This window comes from Homo sapiens, chromosome 11 (genome assembly GCF_000001405.40).
Source record: "Homo sapiens chromosome 11, GRCh38.p14 Primary Assembly".
Taxonomy (NCBI): domain Eukaryota; kingdom Metazoa; phylum Chordata; class Mammalia; order Primates; family Hominidae; genus Homo; species Homo sapiens.
The window spans coordinates 107,172,490-107,195,169 of record NC_000011.10 but is presented as its reverse complement, the minus strand read 5'-3'; the positions used below and the strand labels follow the sequence as shown (position 1 = coordinate 107,195,169).

General features: G+C 37.1%; 1 pseudogene; it reads right to left on the bottom strand.

Annotated features, from left to right (window-relative positions):
- ASS1P13 (argininosuccinate synthetase 1 pseudogene 13) lies at window positions 17,403-18,957 on the bottom strand (annotated as a pseudogene).

Below are 22,680 nucleotides of genomic sequence, written 5' to 3'. Positions count from 1 at the left end.
TGTAGGTTGCCTGTTCACTCTGATGGTAGTTTCTTTTGCTGTGCAGAAGCTCTTCAGTTTAATTGGATCCCATTTGTCAATTTTGGCTTTTGTTGCCATTGCTTTTGGTGTTTTAGAAATGAAGTCGTTGCCCATGCCTATGTCCTGAATGGTATTGCCTAGGTTTTCTTCTAGTGTTTTTATGGTTTTAGGTCTAACATTTAAGTCTTTAATCCATCTTGAATTAATTTTTGTATAAGGTGTAAAGAAGGGATCCAGTTTCAGCTTTCTACATATGGCTAGCCTGTTTTCCCAGCACCATTTGTTAAATAGGGAATCCTTTCCCCATTTCTTGTTTTTGTCAGGTTTGTCAAAGATCAGATAGTTGTAGATGTGTGGTATTATTTCTGAGGGCTCTGTTCTGTTCCATTGGTCTATATCTCTGTTTTGGTACCAGTACCATGCTGTTTGGGTTACTGTAGCCTTGTAGTATAGTTTCAGGTCAGGTAGCGTGATGCCTCCAGCTTTGTTCTTTTGGCTTAGGATTGACTTGGCAATGCGGTCTCTTTTTTGGTTCCATATGAACTTTAAAGTAGATGCTCATGGATAGGAAGAATCAATATTGTGAAAATGGCCATACTGCCCAAGGTAATTTATAGATTCTGTGCCCTCTTTTCATAGGCTGCTTATTCTTCCTTATCCTAGGTCATGTTTTAGTCACAGGAAAGAAGATATGTTTCAGAGAGATTTTAGCTCAGAGAGTGAGCTGAAAATGAAATCCTCCTTGCTTTGAAGATGTGGAAACCATAGTGATTTCTGAGCAATGCCACTATGTTCTGCCATGCTTCCTTAGATCAGAGTTTTTATTTAAACACTTTATACCCAATAATGTGAAAACTACCCTTTCACAATTTATGTTTTCCTAGGAAAGTTGGTACCCTCTAGTGTACATATCTTGCACTTTTATATAACTTTTGACCTCTTCAAACACTTTTCCTAAAGGTTGCTCAATCTCTCCTCTAGGCTCCGTGCTCACCATATGGGTATAAATTTTCATGGTACGTAAGAAACTTAAGATCTAGAGAATTCTTTCACAATTGATGACCAGAAAGGTGAGAATTCATAAGAGTTCTGCTTCCAGATCTAGCCTAACCATTTTTTGTAGGCCCTTTGGAAAACGACCTAAAATTCTCTGAGTAACTAGAGATTGAGGTTAATAGTCCCTATTTTACCATGTAGGATTGCTGAAAGATCAAGATCTGAGATGCATATTTAAGTGCCTCTCCATAGGTGTGGTGCCCAAATTATTTAATGGAGATGTCATTTTCATTCTTAGATTGATACATACGGGAAAACATAGGATATACTACATTGACAAGTCTGTGTGCTGTAAATCCATCTATCTTTATCCTCTTGTATTTTATTTTGTCTTTTACTTTTTAAATAAATGTTCCTGTTGGAAAATCCCAGTCTGCCTTGCTTTGTTAGGCCAACAGGAGAAGAAATATTTCTACTCATGTTACCCAGTCAGTTCTATATCCTATGTTCTAAGAAATTCTTGGGGGGAATCCCTTAAAATCTATTTTATTCAGTGTTAGAGCAATTCCTTTTTTCTATTTTCCCTCTACCTCCATACCCTTATTGTCCCATTCCTTTTGTGAGTAGGAATTGGAATCATAATCTATACACTTTGGATGCTATCGGTGTTTGAAATGTAATAGTATCTTTGAAATAAAAAAGCAAAACTGGAGGACTCTTTTGGAGAAAGGATTATTTACTCATCAATTTCCACCATACTGAAAAATATAATGCAGCTAATTTAAGAACTTCTATGTGGATAGGCTTATACTCCTTCTTTTGGAGGTAAATAAGGCGCAAGTCCTGTCCATGTGGACCCAAGCTCCAGAGCCACCTCAATGAATTCAGGCTGTAGACCTACCCCTATGAAACCAGACACCAGGCCAGAATGCCCAAAGTCCTCAGTAACAAGCTCACCTGTTGACTGTGCCAGCAGCCCACCCAGAATCTCAGGGTGGGCAGACTGGTGAAGGGCTTTCCCTGCTTAACCCGGCCTGTAACGATTGAACAAGGTGTCTGTTTCTTCAAGTGCACGGACACCAACACAAGGTCACAAGGATTATGAATCATCAGGGAAACATGCCACCACCAAGGGAAAAAAAAAATAAAGTCCAATAACCAACCCAAAGAAATGGAGATCTATGAACTACCTAACAAATAATTTAGAATGATCATCTTAAAGAAGCTCAGTGAGGTACAACAGAATACATATAGACAATTAAATGGAATCAGGAAAATAATATATGAAGTTCAACAAAGAGAAACTATAAAAAAGAACCAAACAGAAATTCTGGAACTGAAAAACAGAATGGCTGATCAGAAAAAATCCATAGAGAACTTCAATAGCAGACTTGATTAAGCAAAAGAAATAATCAGTGAGCTTGAGGACAGTCATTTGAAATTACCCAGTCAGAGGAACAAAAAGATAAAAGAATGACTAAGAGTGAAAAAGTCTGTAGGACCTATGGGCTATATCAAGGAGACCAATATATGCATTAAGGAAATTTTAGAAGAAGCAGAGAAAAGAGGATGGGTATGGAAAGATTATACACAGAAATAATGAAAGAAAACTTCCGAAATTTGGATAGGGAAATGAACATCCAGCTCCACGAATTCCAAAGAACTCCTAATAGATTAAACATAAAGAGATCTTCACTGAAGCACATTATAATCAAATTCTCAATGGTCAAAGACAAAGAATTTTGGAAGCAGCAAGACAGAAGTGACTCACCAGATGCAAGGGAACCATTATGAAACTATCAGTAGATTCCTCAGCAGAAATCTTGCAAGCTTGGAGAGAGTGGCATGATATATTCAAAATTCTGAAGAAAAAAGCCTGCCAGTTAAGAATTCTAGACCTAGTAAAGCTATTCTTCAGAAGTAAAGGAGACATGAGGACTTTACCAGACAAAAGCTGAGGGAGTTCATCACCACTAGACCTTTCTTACAAAAAATTCTAACGGTAGTTCTTCAAGTTGAAACAAAAGAACTCTAACAGCATGAAAACACATTAAAGTATAACTATCATTGGAAAGGTAAGAATATTATCAAATACAGAATACTCTAATACTGTAGTAGCAGTGTAAAAGTTAAAGAACGAAAGTATTAAAAATAACTACAATAGCTACAATAATTTGTTAATAGATTCACAATACAAAAATATATAAATTATGACATCAGTAACATAAAATAGAGGAAAATTTAAAGTATAGTGTTTTTCCATGAGATCACAGTTAAGTTCTTATCAGCTTAATATAGATGATTATAACTATAAGATGCTTTGTGTTTTCTCATGGTAAAGAGAAAAATGTAGTAGATAAACAAAAGAGAAAGAGAAAGGAATCAATACATACCACTATATAAAGCTAATGAATCACAATGGAAGGCAGCAAGAGGAAGAAAGGAATCTTTTCAAGCACACACAGAACATTCTCCAGGATAGACCATGTGTTAATCCATGAGAAAAGTCTTAACAGATTTTAAAAGATTGAAATTATATCACGTATCTTTGGTAACCACAATAGTATGAAGCTAGAAATCAAAAATAGGAAAAAATTGGAAAATTCACAAATATGTGGAAACTAAAAACACACTGCTGAATAACTAATTGGCGAAAGAAGAATTTTTATTTTTAATAAAAAAATATCTTGGCATATGATGGTTAATTTTATGTGTCAACTTCACTGGGTTAAGGGATACTTAGATAGGTGGCGAAACATTATTTAAGTGTGTGTGAGGATAATTCTGGAAGAAATTAGCATTTGAATCCACAGACTGAATAAAGAAAATCTGCCCTCACAAATGTGGGCCACCATTATCCAATCCACTGAAGGCCCACCTGAATAGAACAACAAAGTGGAGGAAGGGAAAAATTTGCTCTCTCTTCTTGAGCTGGAACATATATCTTCTTTGCCATCAGACGTTGGAACGATGGGTTCTTGGACCTTCAGAGTGTGGACTTAAATCAATGCCCTCCCCACTGCACACTTTCAAGCTTTCAAATTTGGGCTGAATTTTACCACCAGCCTTCCTTTGTCTCTAGCTTCCAGGTGGCATATTGTGGGACTTGCTGGCCTCCATAATAACATAAGACAATTACCATAACATATCTCCTTCTATATATCTATATATATCTTATTAGTTCCTTTTCTCTGAAAAACCCTAATTAATACATGAGACAAAAAATAAAAGCAACATACTAAAATTTATGGAATTTTCAAAAGTAGTTCTAAGATATTTTATATGATTAAACACTTAAATGAAGAAAAATGAAAGATCTTAAACAGCCTAATTTTACATCTCAAGAAACTAGAACAGGAAGCCTGAAATTAGTAGAAGAAAGGACATAATAAATACAATAAAGATCAATACAGAAATAAATAAAATAGAAACTAAAAGAGCCATAGTAAAAAACTAATTGTTATTTTTTTAAAAGATAAGCAAAATTGACAAACCTTTATCTATACTAACTAAAAAAAGGAGAGAAGAAAAATACATAAAATCAGAAATGAAAGAGGAGATATTACATTGATACCAAGGAAATACAAAGGATCAAAAGAGACTACTATGAACAGTTATTTGCCAATCACCTGGAAAACCTAGAAGAAATGGATACATTTATGGAAACATACAATCTACTAAGACTGAATCATAAAGAAATACAAAATCTGAACAGACCAGTAATGAGTAATAAGATTGAATTAGTAATCAAAAACCTCTCGCACAAAGAAAAGTCCAGGACTTGATAACTTCAATTGTGTGTTCTACCAAACATATAAAGATGAATTAATATCCACTTTTCCCAAACTCTTCCAAAAATTTGAAGATAAGGGAACACTTTCAAACTAATTTTCTGAGGACAGTGTTACCTTGGAGTCAAAGCTAGATAAGGTCACTGCAAGAAAAGAAAATTCCACCATAATATCTCTGATAATTATAGATGCAAAAATGCTCAACAAAACACAGCCAACTGACTTCAACAATGTATTAAAAAAATTATGAACCATAATCAGATGGAATTTATCCTTGGGATGCAAGCATGGTTCAACATACACAAATCAATCAATGTGATATACTACATCAACAGAATAAAGAATAAAAACACCATGTAATCTTCTCATTAGATGCAGAAAAAGCATTTTACAACATTCCTTTTTGTTGAAAACTCTCAACAAATTAAGTATAGAAGGAATGTATCTCAATATAATGAAGGCCATATATGACATCACAGCTAACACATGCAACATTGAAGAGCCCACAGCTAACATCTGAAATGGTGAAAAGCTTTAGCTTTTTCATTAGGATCCACAAGCAAGATAAGGATGCTCCCTCTTACCACTTGTATTCGATATGAACCTGTAAGACCTAGTCAGAGCAATTAGTCAAGAAAAAAATATAAAATGCATCCAGACTGAAAACAAAGAAGGAAAATTGTCTCTGTATGCACATGATATGATCTTATATATAGAAAACCCTAAAGATTTCACCAAAAAATCTGTTAGAACCAAAGAAAAAGCTCAGTAAAGTTGCAAGATGCAAAATCAACTTACAAAATTGTTTTTCTATACACTAAAAACTAATTACCAGAAACAGAAATTAAGGAAAGACTCCCATTTATAATAGCACACAAAAGATACTTAGGAATAAATTTAACCAAGAGGTGAAATATTTGTACACTTAAAACTGTAAAACCTTGATGAAAGAAACCAAAGTAGACACAAAGAAATGGAAAGATATCCCTGTTTGTGGATGCAAATAATTAATATTGTTAAAATATGTACACCACCCAAAGTAATCTACAGATTCAATGAAATTCCTGTTAAGAGTCCAATGATATTTTTCACAGAAATAGAAAAAACAATCTTAAAGTTTGTTTGGAACCACCAAAGACCTCCAAATAGCAAAAGCAATTTTTAGCAAGAAGAACAATGCTGATGGCATCACAGTACCTGATTTCAAAATATACCACAACAGTGATCAAAACAGTATAGTACTAGTATAAAAACAGACATATGGACCAATTAAACAGAATAGAGAGCCTTAAAACAAATCCACACATTTACAGTCAATTTGTCTTTGACATAGTTTTCAAGAACTCTCACGATGGAGAAAGACTAGGTTTTTTGTTTTTTTTTTTAATAAATGGTGTTGGGACAACTGGATATCCACACATGGAAGAAAGAAATTAGAACCTTATCTTACACAAATCAACTGAAAATAAAGACTTAAATGTAAGACCTGAAATTGTAACACTACCAGAAGAAAACATAGGGAAAATGCTTCTTGACATTGGTTTGGGCAATAATTTTTTGGACATGACTCCAAAATCACAGGCAATGGAAGCAAAACTAGACAAGTGGCACTACATCAACTGAAAAAGCTTCTGCATAGTAAGGAAAACAATTAACAAAATGAGGAGACAACCCAGAGAATTGAAAAAAATTCAGGTCATTCATCAGATAAGTAGTTAATATTCAAAATATGAAGGAACTTCAAAAAGTTTGTGGAAAAATGGAATTAACAGATAAAAAATATAAACTTTGTTTCTCAATGTAAACTCCATCAAATTCAACACACTTTTGTAAGCAATGAAAGCAGCCATTTAGTCCATTTCTAAATAATTGTGGATCCTGGGAATTTAACCATGTCAATGCCATCTTTTTATTATTAACTGAAGAAAAATGGTTGCCCTTTAAATATTTTTTAAGATTAGAAAACAAAAAGAAGTCAAAAAGAGCCAAATCAGCCCTGTAAGATGGATGTTGAATGATGTCTCATAGGAACTCTTGCAAAATTGCCCTTGTTTGATGAGATGAATGCTCAAGAGCATCGCAATGGCGGAAAAGAACTCTGGTGAATATTTCCCGGGCATTTGTTTTTGCTAAAGCTTTGGCTGACTTTCTCAAAATACCCTTGTAATCAACAGATGTTATTATTCTTTGGCCCTCTAGAAAATCAAGTAGCAAAATGCTCTGAGAATCCAAAAAAACTGTTGCCATGATATTTGCTCTTGACTGGCCTGTTTTTGCTTTGACTGGATCATTTCCATTTCTTGGTAACCATTGCTTTGACGTACTTTGTCTTCAGGATCATACCGGTAAAGCCATATTTCATATGTTGTTACAATTCTTTGGAAGAACTGCTTCAGGATCTTGATCCCAATTTTTAAAAATTTCCATTGAAAGCCCTGCTCTTATCTGCAGCTAATCTGGGTGCAATGGTTTTGACACCCATCAAGTGGAAAGTTTCCTCAACTTTTATTTTTTAGTCGGAATTGTGTAAGACGAACTAATTAAGATGACTGTGGTGTTGCCTGTTGTTTCTGCTGTTAATCATTGGTCCTCTTCAATTGGGGAATGAGCAAGATTAATTTTTTCCTTGCAAATTAATGTGGATGGTCAGCTACTATGGGCTTCATCTTCAATATCACCTCATCCTTTCATAAAATGAGTTATTTATTTGTAAACTGTGGATTTCTTTGGGGTATTATCCCCATAAACATTTTATAAAGCTTAAATGATTTCACTATTCTTCCACCCAAGCTTCACCATAAATTTGATGTTTGTTCTTGCTTCAGTTTTAGCAGAATTCATATCCTTTTATAGGGGCTCTTTCAAACTGATGTCTTATCCTTCTTAGTGTTTCAAACTAGAACTTATTTAATCATGTTGTAATAAGTTGGTATAAAATTATTTTGGTGCAAGAAATATTGAAATCCATGCATAGTTTTTCCATAAGATGAAATTTCCACATTTTTTTCAAAGACCTCTTGTAGATAAGGAACTCATACAACTCAATAGCAAGAAAACAAATAACTTGGTTTTTAGAAATAATGGGCACAAGACCTAAATAGACATTTCTGTAAAGAGGAGATACAAATGCCCAACAGGTATATGGAAAGATGCTTAACATTATTAATCATTAGGGAAATGAAAATCAAAACCGCAGTGAAATATCACCTCCTACTTATTAGAATGGCTACTATCAAAATGACAAAAGATAGCAAGTGTTGATGAGGCTGTTGAAACTTTGTACACTGTTAGTGGGAATGTAAATTGGTGTAGCTATTATGGGAAACAGTATGGAGTTTCCTAAAAAAACTTAAAACTACCTATGACTCAGCAATCCCACTACTAGGTATGTATCCTATATAAAGGAAATGAAATCACTATCTTGAAGAGATACCTGAGCTCCCATATTCATTGCAGCATTATTCACAATAACCAAGATATAGTATCAACTTAAGTGATCATCAGTAGATGAATGGGTACAGAAAATGTGGTATACGTACACAGTGGAATACCATTCAGCCTTAAGGAAGAAGGAGCCTCTGTTATTTGGAGCAGCATGGATGAACCCTGGGGACACTATGTTAAATGAAGTAAGCCAGGCACAGAAAGACTGATGCCACATGATGTCACTTGTATGTAGATTCTAAGAAAGCCAGACTCACAGAGGAAAAGAGTAGAATGGTGGTTACCTGAGCCTGGGTGGGGTTGAGGGAGATTGCAGAGATGTGGCTCAAAGGGCACAAAATTTCAGTTAGGAGAAATAAGTTCTAGAGACCTATTGTACAACATGATGACTGTAGCTGATAATTGTATTCTTAACATATGTATAATGACAATATATACTACTTTAAGTATGTTATATACAATTTAAAATTCTGTAAACTTACAATTGCTAAGAGAATATATTTTAAGTGTTCTCACCAAATAAAAAGTATGTGAGATAATACATATATGAATTAATTTGATTTTGCCGTTCCACAATATACATCTTTCAAAATATCATGTTGTATACCATATATATATGTATAATTTATATTTGTCAGTTAAATAGTAACAATTTTAATAAAAAAGGAAATCTTGTCATTTGTGACAGTGGATAAACCTGGATGACATTATGCTAAATGAAATAAACTAGGAACAAATACTGCATGATCTCACTTATATGTGGAATCTAAAAAAGTTGATCTCATGGAACCAGAGAGTAGAATTGTGTCTGCAGGGGGTGGGGGAATGGGGAAATGGAGATATGTTAGTCAAAGGTACAAAGTTGCAGTTATGCAGGATGAATAAATCTGCAGATATACTGTTCAGCATGGTAACTATAGTTAATAATCCTATAATGTATATTTAAAATTTGAGAATAGAGTAGATCTTAAATATTATTAGCCCACATAAATACACCCAAAAGTAGCTATGCGAGGTGATGAATATGTTAGCTAGCTTGTGGTAATCATTTGCAATGTATAGATATATCAAAATATCACATATACTTTAAGTATAATTTTTATTTGTCAATTGTAACACAAAAAAGCGGGAAAGTAATTAAAAATAAAAACAACACATATGGATAAGTTTATACTCCTTTTTTGGAGATAGACATGATTGCCCATTTCATTCCTTTTTTTTTTTGTAGACAGTTTTATTATTAGTGAGTGAAGCAATTCTATAGGGCCCTATGGAACCTGCTTTTAGAGAATGGAAATTCCTTTTCTGTTATCAGTTATTATCATTTGGACAGATATGAATTTCTCAAGTGCTTGATTTTGTTATACATTGCAAAAATACTAATATTTTGTTCTTGTGATGTCGTGGGTGGTTGTACACAAAATGAAAGTCAACAAGCTAACCTAGGTGGGCCATGCTTATCAAAAAAGATTAGAAATTCAAGTTTTTCGATAAAAGAATGGGGAGAAAAACTCCACTTGGCTTTGTCCTACAATCATGGAGAAACCTGGCATTATACCAACTCTCTCTGGGTGTCATTTACTTTTTTTAACTTGTAAGAAATGGTGTGAAGAAATAACATATTACACACCAAAAAATAGAAATAGAAAAGGCAAGTAAAATACTATTCAACATAACAACATTCCACATGGGTTATGTTAGCTTTACCTGTCTTAAGGTTGGCAGAGTCTATCAGCTACCCTCTCACCATCTGGTACTGCTGTTTGAGATCAAATCTGGGCCAATGGTGACATTATACAACCAACATTAGCCAGAGAGGCTTGTTGGATATTACATTTTTTTTGAGCAGAGAAAATTGGCACAATCATTTGAGCTCAGAGAGGTGTTACTCCTTTGTGAGGGGTTTTTGCTTACTGATCTAGGCTCTACAGGGTTACACAGGACTTTATACTTAACATCTTGGCTCCAGCCAGCACAGTGCTTTTTTTCTTGTCTGCTGTATATATCGAGATCTTATGAAATAATTTGGTTTGAAGGAAAAGTTTTCTGCTCTTAGAATAAGCATGTATCCCACTGCTTTATGAATGTCCATATATTTAAAAATAGCATGTAAGTTAATTTATTTTTTGAAAATGAAACACTTTTAAATTCCAGAAAGGAGCTCATTAAAGATAACCTCTTCAGCTAATTCTTCTAAGAAGAATACTTTCGTAAGCTTAATGATGATTGCTAATTTGTTGCCTGAAAATCCAAAAAATTTTTAAAATATGTTAGATCTGCCTAAAGGAGAGTGTGTTTATAAAGTTACAGAGCAATTGTGTATGTCTCCAACTTATCTTCCTTCCCCCAATCTCCATATTTGTCTGTAGCTCCATGACTTTGTTTATGGTCTGTTTTTTCAAATGCTGACTTGTTTTCTCCTAGTCTTTTCAAACACACATATTCTGTAAGGTCCAGCCAAAAGTTCACTCCTTCAACAAATTTCTCTCTGCGACTGACAGACACTTTATTTTCTTAATGTTTATTCTGTTATGGAATGAACAGTAGGCATGTGTTCTTAAGCATTTGTTTGTGGCTGGTAGCATACTGTGTTGTTATTTATTATTCAACATCTCCACCTCTGCTGTAAAGAGAGTGGAATGAGCCTAATAGAGGAAGGAATTTGTTATTACTGAGCATCTCCTCAGTTCTAGGCAGTGTGTTAGATGCTTGCCTGTGCATTACCTCATGGTGCAGTGATTAAGCTTGTGGACTCTGGAGTTAGACTCTCTGGATTTAAAATGCGGCTCCTTTGCATGCCAGCTGGACAAGCTTCTCTGTTTTCAGTTATTATTTCATATGTAAACTGGGGCTAAAAATAACCTCATTTGGTTAATGTGAGGAGTAAATTAGATTGTCCATGTGAAAGACTTAGAGTACCTGACACATTTGAAGCCCTCGATACATGTTAAATATTTCTATTAATTTAAAGAGTCATGCTATGAGATAGACCTTCTCTCCACGTTGCAGGTGAAAAACCCGAGCCTGAAAGGTTAGAGAAATTGCACAAATTTATGTTCATCTGTGGTAGAGCCAGCATTGGCAAACACACATGCTTTATTCCAGAGCCGAAACTCTTTTTTATTTTTATTTTTTATTTTTTAGACAGGGTCTCACTCTGTCGCCTAGGCTGGAGTGCAGTGGCACAATTTCGGCTCACTGCAACCTCTGCCTCCTGGGCTCAAGGGATTCTCCTGCCTCAGCCTCCCAAGTAGCTGTGATTACAGGAGTGTGCCACTATGCCCATCTAATGTTTTGTATTTTAGTAGAGACAGGGTTTCACCATGTTGTCAGGCTGGTCTCAAACTCCTGACCTCAAGCCTCCCAAAGTGCTAGGATTACAGGCGTGAGCCACCGAGCCTGGCCCCAAGCTCTTTTTAATAACCATATTGTTTTGCTTTAAATTTGTATAGAATTACTCATGCCATACTACCTCTTTACATGCCTTTTGAACTCTTAAAATAGCCAGCTTAGTGGTACAAATTGATGAAGGTCAGCAAATATATGTCAATTACATGAGATCATAAATGTGAAAACACCTGGCAAATAGCTTAAAACTTATTCTATTTAATTCTATTAAACACCCTCAGTGGGAAAGGTCACAACAGCATCATGAATTTGCAATGGTAGGCACACCTCTTACAGTTATGAATAGTATAATGGGAAAATTTAGACAAGTAGTTTTTAGAGTGAGATCAGAGGCAAGGAATGTTGAATCATAAAAGGATAGTAGGTCAGTGGTTTTCAAGTATTATTAGGCATGGAATACTTTTTGGTTGAATTAAATCTTACTCAAAAGTTCAATCATTAATAACATAGGTCAAGGTGAAGTTCTTCTGACTGGAGCTGATGGAAGGACCACATCATCTCTGGCTTTGTTCACTCCTTTCATCCCTGTGGCACCTCTTCAGAACCTTAAGTGGCTTTAAGAAGTGATCCTGCCATTTATTTTTTACAGTGAAGTAAATAAAGCAAAGAGAGGTGAAGTGATTGGTCCAAGATCACAAATCCAGAGCTCAAGAACTAGATTTTTTTTCATTCTGCCATACTGCCTTAAGGAGACTGCTGGTCACCTCTTCTACTTTTCTTTGTCTACATTTTTGTGACTGTTTCTTACAATTGGCATAATTGAGAACAAAAAGCTACTGCTCTCATGTCGTAAGTAAGAGAGTACAAACGCAACCATCCACACACCTCAAAAACCACATACTTTGAATTATTTGGAGGCAGTGAATTACTACTGCAAAAGTTTCCAAAGGAGACCAAGTTTTAAGCATCTTTCATTTGAATAATTACATGCAAAGAAAAAGAATAAAATGAATATTTCAATGTCTTTCAAGTGACATAATGCATTTCAAAGATTTTAAGCTTAAAATGGTAGGAATAATAAAGGTTACTGAACTCAGATTTTCGGTGGTCTAATTCTGAGAATTGCACTTCACATCAATAAGCTCTCCAATGTCACTACTGTAGCAGTTTTAAGGATATAAAATGCCTTTAAAAATATATAATTTCAACCTTTATTTTAGATTCAAGGGGTACATGTGCTGGATTTGTTACCTGGGCATATTGCCTGATGCTGAGGTTTGGGGTACGAATGATCCTGTCACCCAGAGAGTGAGCATAGCACCCAATAGGTAGTTTTTCAGCCCCCTTTTCCCTCCCTCCCTTCCCCCTCTAGTAGTTCCCAGGGTCTATTGTTGCTGTCTTTATGTCCATGAGTACCCAATGTTTAGCTCTCATTTAGAAGTGACAGCATGCAGTATTTTGTTTCCTGTGCCTGCGTTAATTCACTTAGGATAATGGCCTCCAGTTGCATCCATGTTGTTTCAAAGGACATGATTTCATTCTTTTTATGGCTGCATAGTATTCCATGGTGTGTGTGTGTGTGTGTGTGTGTGTGTGTGTGTATGTATATATATATATCACATTTTTTTCTTTATTCAATCCACTGTTGATGGGCACCTAGGTTGATTTCATGTCTTTGCTATTTTGAAGAGTGCTGCAATAAACATATAAGTGCAAGTGTCTTTTTGGTAGAATGATTTATTTGCTATGGGATATATACCCGGTAATAGGATTGGTGGGTCGAAAGGTAGTTCTGACTGAAGTTCTTTGAGAAATTTTCAAACTGTTTTCCACAGTGCTTGAACTAATTTACATTCCCACCAACAGTGGATAAGTGTTCCCTTTTCTGTGCAGCCTTCACAGCATCTGTTGTTTTTTGATTTTTAATAATAACTATTCTGGCTAGTGTGAGACAGTATCTCATTGTATTTTTTATTTGCATTGATAGACAATGTCTTTAAGGGAAAATATAATATGTGGAAAAAGTCCTAGCCTGGAAAACCCTATAACATCAGGGAAACAATCAGATAAATTGGAATTCATTCAATTCCATCAATAAATTAATATATGATCCATTTTATATTCCACTAGGTTGACATGAGAGGTGATATAAATTTATACCATTGAAATGGTATATATTCAACAAACATATTAGGAATAACTACCAGGAACCTAGCACTGGGGATTTAAAAATGAATAGAATCATGGTTTGGCTTCTTCACTCAAAAAGGGGCTCAGTCTCAGTGATATGGTTTGGATTTGTATCCCTGCCCAAATCTCATGTTGAATTATAATCCCCAATGTTGGAAGAGGGGCCTAGTAGGAGGTGATTGGATTATGGGGTGGATTACCCCCTTGCTGTTCTCCTGATTGTGAGTTCTCACGAGATCTTGTTTAAAAGTATGTAGCACACCCCCTCCTCCTTCCTCTAGCTCTGGCCATGTGAAGATGGGCCTGCTTCTTCTTTGCCTTTTGCCGATGGTTGTATATTACCTGAGGCCTCCCCAGCCATGCTTTCTCTACAGCCTGAGGAAACATGAGCAAATTAAACCTCTTTTCTTTGTGAATGACCCAGTCTCATGTGTTTCAACATAGCAGTGCTGGAGTGGACTAATATACTCATATTACTTGTGCTAATCTCACATTTTACACAATTTAGATGAGCTGTTTTGTGGTTTGAGCTGACACTAGGGAAGCAGGTTCAGGTTCTTGCACAGTGTCAGGGGAGGACAATGTGGAAATGTATGTGGAAAGAGTATGGGATCTTGATTTAGAGGACTAGGCTAATCTCTTCTTGCTTGTATGACTTTGGATAACATGCCTAGATTTTATGGGCCTTAGTTATCTTGTCTGTAAAATGGAACTTATGCTAATGCCCATTTTTATGTTGCCATGGAGACTAGTTAGATTATGAATAGGAAAGTGCCTTGTAAACTCTTTTAATACAAACATCATTTGGGACCTTTTCAACCTTGCTTCTCAATGGCTCCTCTGAGCTGCAGCATTGACCCAGATGTGTAATGAAATGTCTTTGTGAATTGCTCCCAAAAGAATTGACTGGCACCAAACATTTCATGTGGTCATGGGGAGGGGTCAAATTAACAAGCTCCGACCATTTTAATGTTTTTTGTCTCTCTGCCCTAGATTTCTTCCAGGAACTCCAACTCTTTTGTCATCTGTTACATGAAATATCTGTCCTTATTTTGAGAAGCCTAGGTGCCAAGACAAATTTAAGGTCCTGGGATTCAGCTTCCCTTCCAAGTTTTCAGTAAGTGTTTCCAATAATATATCTTTCTTCATCAGCTGAATTCAGCCTATAACATCATAAAGTATTAAAACATATTTTATTGTTTTGTGCTGTTACAATTTTTTATTGTATTAAAAATACATAATATAAAATTTACCATCTTAACCATTTTTAAGTGCATGGTTTAGTGTGTTGAGTATATCCACATTCAAGCTGTTTCACATTGTTGTGAAACATCTCCAGCACTTTTTCATCTTGCAGAACTGAAACTCTATAGCCATTAAACCACAACTCCCCTTTTCCTCCTCCCCTGTTACAATTATTTGAAAAATGTTTTAGGGTAAGAGCAATACTTGGGGTTGTTATTTGAATAAAGATAACGTGATAAAGCAGGTCATGTGAAATGATTTTTAGGAAGATGGGAAAAATTGTCATGTACTAATTTGAATGAATGAATGACTGAGTAATGAAGGAAACATAATTATTCTCAGTTTGGTCAGTGACCTCTCCAGAAAGAAATGTGAGTGTGAGGTCAAACGTATTCTGCAACACAAGTAATTTTAGAAAGCACAAATCAATCTGGAACCAAATCTTAATGTTATATCCAACTTATAATTGAATTGTGATGAATTTTCCAGTTTCACATTCACCTTTTCTTTAGACTCAGATGATCTTTTTAGGAATCAAATGATCCTAGGAGTTTTAGGTGGGAATTCTTTTAGCTGCAAAATAAATTTACTTCAAAGAGAGGTAACTAAAAGAGAGAACTTGAGTATCTTGAGAGGCTTTTTCTATGTAATGACTAAGATGCCACCTGACAGAACTGTGTTTTACATGGTCCATGGGCATATGCTCTCTGCAGGAGAGAAATTCTCTCTCAGCTCCCTATAAACTTTTGATAAATGACTGTTATTGGCTATACTTGAGTCATGAATGTGCCTCTGGGCCAATCTTGAAGCATGAGGTACTTTGATTAGACAGTCTCGTCACATGCCTTCTGTTATGGTGAGGGAGGAAGGAATATGTGATTGACAATTCCATAAGGTGAGGACTAAAACAACAGGTGAGGACTAAAACAACAGATGTAAATTACAGGGCTTTTATTTTTTCTTTCTTTAAGTCATTCTCTGGGCTGGAGAGAATTCACACGGGCCCTAGAAATTCTGCTCAAGTGCCAGGATACTGACGTATTCCCTAGTTTGCTTTGTGAAGGTCACCAGCTCTGTTTTTAATTTAAAAAAAAATTATTTTAAAAGATGATGAGTATTATCATTACTATTATTATTTATAAATTTGAGTTTCTATTTTAAACACATCAATGGCAGTGTTTCATTGAGTTGGAAAACTCTAGTTTTGTGGTGTCCCTAAAATTTTATGGACCTAAAATTGTCTCTTGAGTCATCTACACTTATGAGAAAGATAGTATACGTTTGAAAAAAACACCTTTGATTTGTGGCTCTAGCCATATCCTGAAAACTTTCTAAAATATTCTCTTAATTATCCCAGCCTGGCCTGCTATGACTGTAAGGTCCAGTAAGTGTTACCTCTCATACCTGCCCCCCAGTCCAGTAGCTCAGACAGTAAGAGCTTCAGCAGGTAGGATAAATTAGCCACAGTTAGGTTTTTGCCTCTCTGCGTGTTGATTGTGCTATATGTATTTGAAAAAGTCTTGCTCTGTCACCCAGGCTGGAGTGCAGTGGCATGATCTCGTCTCACTGCAACCTCTGCCTCGTGGGTTCAAGCCATCCTCCCACCTCAGTCTCCCGAGTAGCTGGGACTGCAGGTGCCCACCACCACACCTGGCTAATTTTTCTATTTTTTGGTAGACACAGGGTTTCTCCATTTTGGCCAGGCTGGTCTCCAACTCCTGGCCTCAAGTGATCTGCCTGCCTTGGCCTCCCAAAGCGCTGGGCTTACAGGAGTAAGCCACTGCACTGGGCCTGTGCTTCATATTGTTAGTCCTGACTCTGACATCTGAATTCAGATTTGCAGTTCCTTCTATTCCAATGAACTCATTAGAAATTCAAGATTAGTCACCTGGGGGCCCAATTAATCTAATTGTGGAGCTCCAGGCTGCTCAGGCCATTTACATGCGGTTTCATCTGAAGTGAAGTAGTTATGAGCTGCTTCTAGCTACCTAGATACAGACCTGGGGAAGTCAAGCTTTGGTAGAAATGATGGTAGGATATTACGTATATTTGCCATGGTGCAGGGAAGAATATGGTCTTTGGGTATAGTCAGTCACAATCACAAGGGTACATGTAGAGGGAGGGATTTTCACTGAGACATTGTTTTTAATAGTCAAAGCTTAAAAACAATTTAACTCTCCAATGAGAGAAGATTGGTTCAATAAACTGTGGTAGTATTCACACAACAAAATCATTAATGTAAGTAAAAAAATAAAAAATGAGGAAGCAGACATGTTTATGTATGTATTCATCAATATAAAAATACATGATTGGGTTATTATTAACTTAGTTAATAAGTTGATATGTACGGTATAATTTCATTTTTTTGACTAGTGTATCTTTTGTCATTTTACAGCTCTCCACCGCAGCTGCCCCCCATCCTTCCCTTCGATGACGACGTTTGCAGGCTTCAAGGGGACCAGGGAACAAAGCTGGGGCCTGGCAGCCCCACTATGCTGCCAGCCGGGGAGAACTAGTCACAAGTACAAATTATCACAACAATTAGCGCCTTTACTTGGGCGATCTGCAAATTGAGGAGGCCCCAGCTCCTCCTTGTACGGGGGTCTATTTTGCAGTGACCTTGCTCTGGAGACGATGATATTCCTTCAGCCTGAGGGAATTGATGTTGATGAACCCGGTGGCATCAATTGGCTCATAATCACCCTGCACGTTCATGCTCACCGGCTCCTCGTTGTAGACAGTGGGGCACTCCCAGCCAAGGATGTACACCTGGCCTTTAAGGACAGACACCTGCACTTTCCCTTCCACTCACTCCTGGGACTCGGCGATGCAGTGGCGGACAAATTCACACTCAGGGCTGTGCCGGAAAGCCAGAAACCAGTATACACCAGCTCAGCAAATTTCAAGCCCCGGCATTGTTTGATTTTGTGCACTTCCCGGTACATGGTGAAGGCCTCGATGTCTAAATGAGCGTAGCAAAGGATGGTGCCTGCTGGGGCCCGGTAGATACCTCGGGACTTCGTTCCAATGAAACGGTTCTCCACGATGGCAATATTGCCCACGCTGTGCTTGCCCGCGACTTCGTTCAGGTACATGAAGAGCTCCAAGGAGGTCTGGTGGGTGGCACTATCCTTGACGTTGGTCACCTTCACGGGGACCCCTTTTTTGAACTCGATCTCGAGAATGTCAGGGGTGTTGGGGGTTTTGGCCGGGTCCTGGGTCTTCGTGTAGAGAGCTGGAGGCGCTTGGTTCTCGGGATTCTCCAGGATTCCAGCCTCGCAGCTGATGTGCATGAGGTTCTCGTCCATGCTCCACGGGTTCTTGGGAGTGACCGGGGTGGGAATCCCGCGTTGCTTTGCATATTCCGTCAGGTCACTGTGGCCCTTGAACCGGTTGTAGAATTCGGGCATACTTCAGGGAGCAATGACCTTTATCTGTGGGGGCCAGCGAGTAGCAGGTGAGCTCAAACCAGACCTGATCATTCCCCTTTCCCGTGGTGCCGTGGGACACATATTTGGCCCCCTCCCGCTGGGCGACTTCCACTTGTTTGTGGGTGATGCAGGGCCTGGCGAGAGAGGTTCCCAGGAGGTAGCGGTCCTCATACAGTGTGCTGGACTGCATGGCCGGCCAGATGAACTCCTCCACAAACTCCCTGTTGACATCCTCAATTAACATCTTTTTGGCCCCAGGCTTCAGTGCCTTCTTCCTGGCTTCCTGGAAGTCTTCCTTCTGGCCAATGCTGGCCAGGTAGGCAATGACGTCATAGCCTTGTTCCTTCAGCCACACGAGGATGCAGAAGGTGTCCAGGCTGCCACTGCAGGCCAGAACTATAGAGCCTTTGCTGGACATACCGTCCGGAATCTGACTCCACAGTGCAATGAACCACTCGGGCTGGGGCAGCCATGGCAGGCGACAGAGCAGGATAATTTCATTTTTATAAAAATGAATGGGTTTATTTATTTGTGTGTATTTTTAAAGATTAGAGGTGAGAATTTGGTATTGCTGTAATGGTATTATGGTCAGGGATGCAGGGCTGTGAAGATTCTGTTGTGCTGATCATGTGTCTTTCTCAGGGTGTTGCCAACCAAGCAAGTGATACTCAAGGAATGGTAGAAGATGATATTGTTTATTAGTAACTGGATAAGCACCTAGTTCACCTTGTGAGTTTTCTGTTAAAAGATGGATAGGAGAACATGGTTACATCCAGAGACCTTTACTTTAAGTGAAGCCTCCTGCGTCTAGGATGGATGGGTAAACAGAGTCTACCCCTGCCTATTTAATTATAGTTACATAGCAGATGGGACACACACACGAACAACCCTCTTTGTATTCCTTGGTTTTTCTTATCACCGAGTCATAGAAAAAAGTGAGCCAAAGGAGGACTTGGGGTCTTTAAGGAATAATAACTTGGTCCACTGGTTAACTATGAACTCTGGCCAATCAAATGACAAATGATCTCTTCCTAAGAGATGTTCAAGTGAGTGTATGTGTGGGGTTAGTAAGGAGAGAAGCAGAAGGGTACATGCATTTTTCTCAGAGTATGCATGTGTAGAAACATTTGCATCAAAATGCCATAGTACTTTTTTTAATGGGCAGTGGGATTACAGCTGATTATAATTTGTATAAATTATTGATTGTCTATACTTTCTAAGTTTCTTCACTGAACATAGATGTCTTGTATAATAAAAAGCCATTCATAAAAATTCAGCTTTACTGTCATTTTAAGCAAACACTCCCACCTTCCATAACTAAATTCTCATATTTACATCAACGTGACATTTTGCCTCTAATCATCTAGTGGCACTCTGAAGAGGTAAGCTCCTTCCTTTTTCAACAGGAAAGTTCCTCTAGCACATTATTCAGATAAGGCTTAAGTGAGATCTTATGAGCTCTGATCGGAACCTTTGCTGAATGGCCTTGATGCTGCTGTCCTACTGTGCCTGAGATGTGAGCACATACAAGGAAACTTATAACTTGATTGGAAACTTCAGGGAAGGCCACCGGGAGAAAGCAGCAAACCAATAATAATGATAATAAAAGTTCACGCTGAGCTAGGGCTTGCTGTGTAGCAGGGCCTGGTAAAAGCTCTACTTAACCAATTTGGTCCCCACGACTCCATTAATTAGAAACTATTATAATCCTCATTTTGCAGAAAAATCTCCAAGGGGTTAAGGGATTTGTTAAAGCTCACTAAGCTCAGAATTGGCTGAGGGGGAATCCAAACCCAAGCGTCTGTTGCCAGTGTCAAGGCATCAACCCCTCTGCAGTATAAGGTTGGCTGCAGGTGGGACTCCTCATTCCATAGCTAACTCCTACTTGCTTTTCAGGTTAACCATGACCCCATCAGTTCAGCTAGGGGATTCCCAAATTTTATTCCATAGTATCCACGGCACTTGTCATACTGAGTTGTGATTTTTTAAAATAGTCTATTCCCTCTGCTAGGCTGTGAGATCTTTGAAGATAGAAGTGGTGACTTGGGATTGTCTCCCAGGCAATTACCACATTGGCTGACTCCTAGAATGTGCTCAATAAATATTGGATGAATATTTAATCATCTGGGCATAGTGGACACATCAATTTCACAAATTGCAAAATTCAACTGAAAAGTAGGAACTGAAAATATAACTAAGGGATTACCTAGGTAATGTCCAATCAGGATAGAACGTGGCTCATTGAGTTGCCCATATGCATGGTTTTGGACTTGGTTATAGGCAGAATTAACTAGGTGTAATCTCTACTTTTTAAGAATTTATAGTCTAACGAAGCAGGTTTGAAATTACCATTGTACCTATCAAGACAACAGTGTTTTTCCTCTGGGTTGAATATCATGCTTTGTATTTTGTGGAATAGAGAAAAAACAATACAGCCACAATGTTAAAAAATTATAATTATTGGGTCAAAAACTATACTTATTGCTTTCCTTTTTCTTTATAATTCTCTGTAGTATACACAAATAAATTTGTGGTTCTGTGCTTATAGTTAGCACTTCTCATCAGTAATATTGATAGTTTTATTTTTATTTAAGTACATTACATATCTTGTCTTAGTCTTCACAGTAGCACTCTGAAGAAGACACTACTTTATCCTTATTTTATTGGTTGATTCCAGAGTTTGAGGAACAAAGAACACAATTCAATTTTAATGATTTTAATCATTTTATCTGAAAAAGTAATAAAATAATATTTTAGAATTTTATTTTTAAAAAAACAAGATAAAATGTCTCAGTGTATTCCAAATCCAACATAGCAACATACTATTAACAAGTACTTTACTCAATTTTGCTTTTTCAAGTTAAACTGTCTGACCTTGTTGCTAAGCACAGGAAGGAAGAATCAGAAGGGAAGTATTTCTTGAAGGAGATGGCTTGAAGTTGGTCTGTGCAAGATAAAAAAAAAAAAGTTAAATGTTTCTTAAAAGAGATTTTATTTTCAGGTTAAAAAATGTCTACAGTTCTGCACTTTTTTGTTCTCTGTTGCCGACTAGTCTGCAGATAGGCAGAGGATTCTGTGCAAAGGGACTGGTTTGTGCATACACTACAATGTTTACTATTTTCAGAGATTGCGCTCCATCACTGAGAATTAGGATTTTAATTTGATAAGTAAGGGACTCTCTCAATAATCTTCTATTTACTCTTAATATATGGTATTAGATTTTTAAACTTAAAGGCAAGACAGGTGGGGAAATTATATGTAGTGACTGTCAGTTGGAGGAAGTAAAAAAATGGAAACACATACAAAGTCTGTTACAAGAGATCACTGAAAATTCTGAGGCAATGTAGTGGCATGCTGTCTTCTCCAGATTTTTCTTTAAAAAAAATACTTAGGATATATAAAATTTTTGACAGTACTGGGAATGAATAAGAGTGTACTATAAATTAACATTTGAGAGGAGTTCCCAGGAATTGAAAAACTGACTGGATTAGATTGAGAAACACTTCCCTAGGCTATGCATGCTGACTCCTTTGCATGAGAAGGGTTTGACTCATTTTATCTACCTTCTTCCAGCCCAGGAACAAAAAGGCTGTACATGTCAAGCAGGTCACCCCCATACTGCACAGGAAATATTTTCTGAAGTAGTAAATGTCTTATACCAGTGTCCCAGCGTTTCACCTCCTGCTCTAAACCATGAAAACAAGTCGTCTCTTCTTACACTGATTTTAGCTTTTAGTACACAAAAACAGGGGAAAAGAGGATGTGCGTTAATTCCTTGCATCCCAGGATATGCATTTTTATTGTCTAACATGGAGAATTCAACAACAAAAACAGAATATTTTAACATATTTCAGCAGAGCCACAAGGCATAAATACTTGCTGCACACCATAAATTGGATTAAGGATATACTCATTACTATGTTTCTAAGTTTAGATTTGAGAGAAGCCATCTAATGCCCCAAATGTCCAATAAAGAGATGCTTAACGACACACAATTTACCATGTCTGTTGGCAATGCTAGACCTAAAGAGATCTCAACTCAGTCAGGCATAAATATAAACAAATAAGCAATGAAAAGCAAAATTGGTTCTATAAAATATTCTATAGCACCAAAAAGTTATGTTAATCTGAAGACTCAAAGGAAAAATATGCCTCTAAAAATTATTTGCGACAAGAAGTATCAGAATAGCTAGATAATATCTGTTTAGTGCTCT